The sequence below is a fragment of the Homo sapiens genome, chromosome 3 (genome assembly GCF_000001405.40).
Source record: "Homo sapiens chromosome 3, GRCh38.p14 Primary Assembly".
Classification (NCBI taxonomy): Eukaryota; Metazoa; Chordata; class Mammalia; order Primates; family Hominidae; genus Homo; species Homo sapiens.
In genome coordinates, this window is record NC_000003.12 from 196,631,504 (window position 1) to 196,637,524 (window position 6,021).

General features: G+C 54.6%; 1 long non-coding RNA gene across 1 annotated transcript, besides 3 other annotated features; it reads right to left on the reverse strand.

Annotated features, from left to right (window-relative positions):
- On the reverse strand, positions 1–1,084 carry LINC01063 (long intergenic non-protein coding RNA 1063). Its single transcript, NR_132101.1, has 2 exons — positions 885–1,084; positions 1–142 (listed from the first exon to the last, which is right to left on the reverse strand). It is a non-coding gene; the product is annotated as a long intergenic non-protein coding RNA 1063 (long non-coding RNA).
- Positions 752–1,506: an enhancer, noted in NCBI's record as "NANOG-H3K27ac-H3K4me1 hESC enhancer chr3:196359126-196359880 (GRCh37/hg19 assembly coordinates)". NCBI's record gives its function as "activates a minimal SCP1, AML or CMV promoter by ChIP-STARR-seq in naive H9 embryonic stem cells {active_cell/tissue: H9 hESC(naive)}" and the evidence as "EXISTENCE:reporter gene assay evidence [ECO:0000049][PMID:30033119]".
- Positions 896–975: a silencer, noted in NCBI's record as "silent region_15068". NCBI's record gives its function as "represses an Ori minimal core promoter by ATAC-STARR-seq in GM12878 lymphoblastoid cells {active_cell/tissue: GM12878}" and the evidence as "EXISTENCE:reporter gene assay evidence [ECO:0000049][PMID:35858748]".
- Positions 3,567–4,104: an enhancer, noted in NCBI's record as "H3K4me1 hESC enhancer chr3:196361941-196362478 (GRCh37/hg19 assembly coordinates)". NCBI's record gives its function as "activates a minimal SCP1, AML or CMV promoter by ChIP-STARR-seq in naive H9 embryonic stem cells {active_cell/tissue: H9 hESC(naive)}" and the evidence as "EXISTENCE:reporter gene assay evidence [ECO:0000049][PMID:30033119]".

Genomic DNA, 6,021 nt, shown 5'->3' on the forward strand with positions numbered 1-6,021 from the left:
GATTTTAAAATAGGGTTATTTGTTTATTATTGAGTTGAAATAATTCCTTCTTTTGAGTGTCAGTGACTGAGGTTCGCTGTGACACAGAGGGGTTCTCCTGGAGAGCTATGGCACATGCTCCATATTAAAAGGCAACATGATGCTGTCAGGAAGAACACAAAAGCAATTATAAAAACGTGTTAGTACATATTTATGCATCTTTTTTCTTACTCTCTCTTTGCTATCTATTCTCACAGCTCTAAATATGAATTATTTCTCTAGGTAGAGGCCAAGCATGAGTCAGCTTCTCCCAAGAATCAGTTGCCTGGGCTTCGAGACAGTTTTCTGCCGTATTTTGGGTAATTGTAGTTGCCAGGAGTCTGACTTCTGAGGGTGTCAGGTGCCATTTGCCGTTAAGTGGAGATAGTAGGTTGAACAGGGTGGGACTAATTGGGGCCAGTTTTGAGGAGGTGAATCTTTAGTGAAATCGCCAAGAACACAGTGGTGAGGACCTGGCAGAGAGGAGGAGATTCCAAGGCTGGGGGAATTGGGTAGTGGCGTCTGGGCACTGGGTCCTGTAGAAGGGAATTGGCGAGATGAATGAGCAGGGCTTCACAGGTGTGACTGATCTTGGTAAAGACGGTGAGAAGCCGTGACCAGGCAGGGTGTGCATGGGAGCAGTGAAAGGTCTAAAATTCAGCCTTTGAGCTCAGTGCTAGGTTCATGCTAGTAATTGGTTCCGATAGGTTAAGCTTCCTCTGGTTTGCCGGTGTGAGAAGAAAGAAAAACCTACTCCTCCCTGTTTCCGCCTCACCAGCTTCCCTTCTCTGCCAGCCCCACCCTGCCCCCGGCCCGTGTGGCTAAACTGCCCAACTGCCGATTAAAACCCGCACCTCCCAACATACCTCGCACCACCCAGAGGCCCCGGTCCCCGCCATTCATTCCGCTCCCGGCCGGGAGTCGCTCTAGCCAATCACCTTCCAGGCTCAGGGCGGCCGAGGCAGGGCCTCTGCCTCTTCGGGGGGCCTCTCCCTCCCCCTGCCCCTGATTGTGGCTGAACTGCCACCGCTTGATAGCAAACCACACTCGGCACAGGAAGGAGAACAGCGCCCGCGGCCCCGGGCCTCCATGAAATCAGCAAGGGCGCGCTCCTCCCACCGCCGCGCTGCTGAGCCTCCCGCCTTTCCTTCCGGTCGCTCGCGCCTCGAGAGGCGCCGCAGGGAGCCCTCTGCCGGTCCCGCCCTTCGCTGTTAGCGCTTAGGATCTGGTGCCTTTTCACGTGGGGGCGGGTGGGCGGGAGGCGAGTCTGGGGTCTTCGGGCCGGGCCTCCGCTCTCTGGCAGTTTGCACCTTGCTCCACTCACTGGCCTGCGGTCTGTGTTCACTCCTCCTCCTCTCCCACGTCTCAGGAACCTGCAGCTGGCCCCCGAGCCCGCGCCCTCCCGGTTCTAGGAATTCACCACTTTCTTGCCTTTGTTTGGGTATCTTTTGTTTGGAGCCAGAGCCGGCTCCAAGGAGGAGCTGCCGGAGGGTGCTAGGCTTTTTGCAGAGGAAGTGAGGAGCAGAGTGATAGGGCGTGAAGTCAGAGGGAGCAGAGAAGGGGCCGAATCCAGCGGGGCCCGGATCATGCAGGGCCCGGAGCCTGTGGTGAGGACTCCGGGATTTATATTCACCAATTATGAGAAAGGACTTCTCGGCCGGGCGCGGTGGCTCACACCTGTAATCCCAGCACTTTGGGAGGCTGAGGCCGGCGGATCGCCTAAGGTCAGGAGTTCGGGACCACCCTGGACAACATGGTGAAACTTTGTCTCTACTAAAAATACAAAAATTAGCCAGGCGTGGTGGTACATGCCTGCAATCCCAGATACTTGGGAGGCTGAGGCAGGAGAATCGCTTGAACCCAGGAGGCGGAGGTTGCCGTGAGCCGAGATCGTGCCACTGTACTCCAGCCTGGGCAACAAGAGCGAAACTCCGTCAAAAAAAAAAAGAAGAAGAAGAAGAAGAAGAAAAGAAAAAAGCAAAGAAAGAAAAGAAAGAGGACTTATCAATGACCACAAATGACTAAGTCCTCAACCTCTCCAACAGCTCTAGAGCAAATGACACTTTAGCCTGTGCTGAGCCCCTACAAGGTGCTAGACCAAGTATTCTTGGGGATATATACAAATGTGAACAAGCCAGAGACCCTGCCTGGCAGGACTCACTGTCCAGGGGGAAGGCAAAACTGCAAAGATGAGCTGGGACGCCCCATGGGAAACGCTGGACAGAGTCAGCCACAAAGCCATCCCCTTGCAGCCTCCTCCTTGGCATGGCCTTATTTTCCTTGTTGGATCCCTAGTGTCCTACCCCATGCCAGGTCCCACCCCAGGAGGGTCCAGTTCACACTTCCAGAAAGTTTGGGCTGCACTGTCCCAGCGGCTGTGCCCTTCGTGCTCTCCCGCTCCCAGGACTCTCCCAGCACCGCGTGCCCATTTTCCCCAAGGTCCTTTCGGCCCTGGACCAGACCATGGTTAGTTATGGGTGCCCCTTCCCCTCGCTGTCCCACTCCACGCCCTGGCACTGATAGGACACTTCCATGTTATCTTTGCACCACCTGGACTCTTTGATCATATGTTGATACTGTCGGTGTTTCAGGACAGGAAGAGGCAGTGTCCCCACAGAGGTCAGTCACCGGAGTCAGTGGCTGCGGGAGGCCATGGGCAGCAGGGAGCTAGAGGAGCTGATCTCAGGATTGGAGACCGCCACCTCCTCCAGGAGGAGAAACACGCGGGGAAGAGCCCCCAGCCCCACCCCACCCCCGCACTGCCTTCAGCCTCTGCATTGACCCCTCCGCTTTTCCAGGATGGGCATCATGAGGCGTTGAGTGGTACCAATGTGGGCGGTGGGCTCTCCTCTTTCCGGTTTTAATTCTTGGTTCTTAAAAACTCCGTTCCAAATGAGGGAAATGAAACTACTGAACACTCTCCCCCAGCAGCCAGCTGACGTGGGGCAAGAGAACAATTCCCAGTTAAGGCCCCAAAGGAAATCCCCTCCCTGCCATGTGCTGAGGCTGGAGAAGTGGGGGCTGGAGAACTGGAGAAGTGGGGGCTAGGAGAAGTGGAGGCTGGAGAAGTCGGGGCTAGGAGAACTGGGGGCTGGAGAACTGGGGGCTGGAAAGGGGGGGCTGGGAGAAGTGGGGGCTGGAGAACTGGGGTCTGGAGAAGTGGGGGCTGAAGAAGTGGAGGCTGGAGAAGTGGGGACTGGGAGAAGTGGGGGCTAGAGAAGTGGGGGCTGGGAGAAGTGGGGACTGGGAGAAGTGGGGGCTAGAGAAGTGGGGGCTGGGAGAAGTGGGGTCTGGAGAAGTGGGGGCTAGAGAAGTGGAGGCTGGAGAAGTGGGGGCTGGAGAAGTGGGGGCTGGGAGAAGTTGGGGAGGCTCTATCTAGCTCACTGCTCCGCCACCAAGGTGAAGGGCCTGTCTGTGGCCAGCGGCTGAGAGCCCACAGCACAGCGGAGAACCCCAGAGGCAGGAGCAAGAGGACCATGATTTTGCCCGGGGTGAGCCGCCAGTTCCAGGTCCCCATGGCTCCACTGCTAGGTGCAATCCCTGTGCTCCTCTCTCACAGACCTGTCTGGAGTGGGGAGCAGCCCTGGCTCCTCCCATGGCTCCCTTGCACACCGAGTTGTGTCCCCTCTCACAGGCCAGCTGTAGCCCCCTCCCCTGGTCTTGAATAGGTTGCCATCTGGAAAAGCAGTCAGGGGTCGGGGTGGAGGGCAGAAGCCAAGGCTCCCTTTGATCTCCTTGGGAGGCTGAGAAGTCCCACAAGTGACAAACTCTTATGAAGCTTAGTTTAAGAAAGAAAAGAGATCCCCACACCCTCAGAGGGCAACAGCTAGAGAATTATACAAAGTGGGTTGACCGCCATCATTCCTTCCTTCCCTCTCTTCGTTTCTTTCCTCCTTCTTTCTTTTTTGTGGAGATGGAGTTTCGCTCTTATTGCCCAGGCTGGAGTGTAATGGCACGATCTCAGCTCACTGCAACTGCCACCTCCCGGGTTCCAGCAATTCTCCTGCCTCAACCTCCTGAGTAGTTGGGACTACAGGAATGCACCACCACGCCCAGCTAATTTTTTGTATTTTTAGTAGAGATGGGGTTTCACTATGTTGGCCAGGATGGTCTTGAATGCCTGACCTCAGGTGATCCACCCACCTTGGCCTCCCAAAGTGCTGGGATGACAGGCGTGAGCCACTGCGCCCGGCCTCCTCCTCCTTTCTTTGAGCAAATAGTCACCAAGCCCCTTTATGTGCATAAGATAGTATATTTTTTGGAATAACACATGACCCTGCCTCCAAAAGTTTGTAGTGGGCCAGGCATGGTGGCTCACGCCTGTAATCCCAGCACTTTGGGAGGCTGAAGCGGGCGGATCACCTGAGGTCAGGAGTTCAAGACCAGCCTGGCCAACATGGTGAAACCCCGTCTCTACTAAAAATACAAAAAATTAGCTGGAAGTGGTGGCGGGCGCCTGTAATCTCAGCTACTTGGGAGGCTGAGGCAGGAGAATTGCTTGAACCCAGGAGGCGGAGGTTGCAGTGAGCCGAGATGGCACCATTGCACTCCAGCCTGGGCAACGGGAGTGAAACTCTGTCTCAAAAGAAAAAAAAAGTCTGTAGTGTAGTTGTGGAAAAAAGGCAGAAGTCCAAAAAATTAAATCACAACACAAGAGATGTCATGAGGTCGGTGGATTATGGGAACGCTGGCACCATGTGTTCACAGGACAAGGTGGCAATTGCAGTGGGGAAGGCTTCATGGAGGAGGGGAGTCCAAGCCATGCCTTTGGGATGGGGAGGGTTGGGGTAGGCAGAAGAGGCCATTCCAAACAAGGGAACCCTCTGCCAGAGAGAGTAGAGAGTGGGGAGCGTTTGTTCTGTGTTTGGGAAAATCGTGATCAGCCCGGGCTGGGTGAACCCACCTGCAGGCCATGTGTGCAGTGATCATGAAGCATGGGCGGTAGTCGTGAAGAGAGGCTGGAGGCAGCTCAGGCCGAATGGACTTTCTCCTCCAGCCGGGAGCCGCCTGGGTTCTTGCTTTCACTTCGGATCAGAGACGCTGCTGCGCTGCTTGACACTAGACTTGCTTTATTCCTGTTGAGTGGAATACAGCAAACACCCCAATAGGTGGAGCAGGCTCAAAGCAAGAGGCACATGGCCCCCCAGAAATTCTCATGATCCTGTGGAGGGGTGAGCTTGGTCAGGGCAACCAGGCCTGGATGCACCAGGGTTGCATCTGAGAGGAAGCACCCTGGTCTCCTCTGCCTCGAAAAGCATAGTGAGGGGGGAGCCCAACCAAGTTGGAGGATGCTGAGCTGTGCAGTCGGGCTTCCAGCCGTGCTGGCACGTTCTCCTTTCAGCTGAAATCTGCATTGGTTTCAGCTGGACGTCCAGGCTTCCACCCACTGAGGCAGCGTGCTGCTAGCCTAGGGGAGGGCTGCTGGTGTTGCCAACCAACTGGCTTGTCTCTACACATCCATCAAGAGCACTGGGGCCGGGTGCAGTGGCTCACACCTGTAATTCCAGCACTTTGGGAGGCCAAGGTAGGCAGATTGCTTGAGCCCAGGAGTTTGAGATCAGCCTGGACAACATGGTGAGACCCCTGTCTCTACCAAAAATACAAAAGACATGGTGGTGTGTGCCTGTGGTCCCAGCTACTGAGGAGGCTGAGGTAGGAGGATCACCTGATCCCAAAGGTCGAGGCTGCAGTGAGCCTTGATTGCGTCACTGAACTCCAGCCTGGGCAACAGAGTGAGACCCTGTCTCAAAAAAAAAAAAAAAAAAAAAAAAAAAGAAAGAAAAAGAATTAAAAAGAAAAAAAAAAGACCATTGGTTTACTAGATTTTTTTTTTAGGGGTAGCAGCTGCCTTTCTCAAAAGAAATTCTATAGAGAATCTCCCAATGTATAAAACATATCAAAGTAGAATTCTTGGGATGTGGAGGGAATGGGGTACCTGGATCCCACCTGCCAGTCTTTAGGCATTCATGAGGAACCCTTGAACCTGCTGAACCCTGTAAAAGG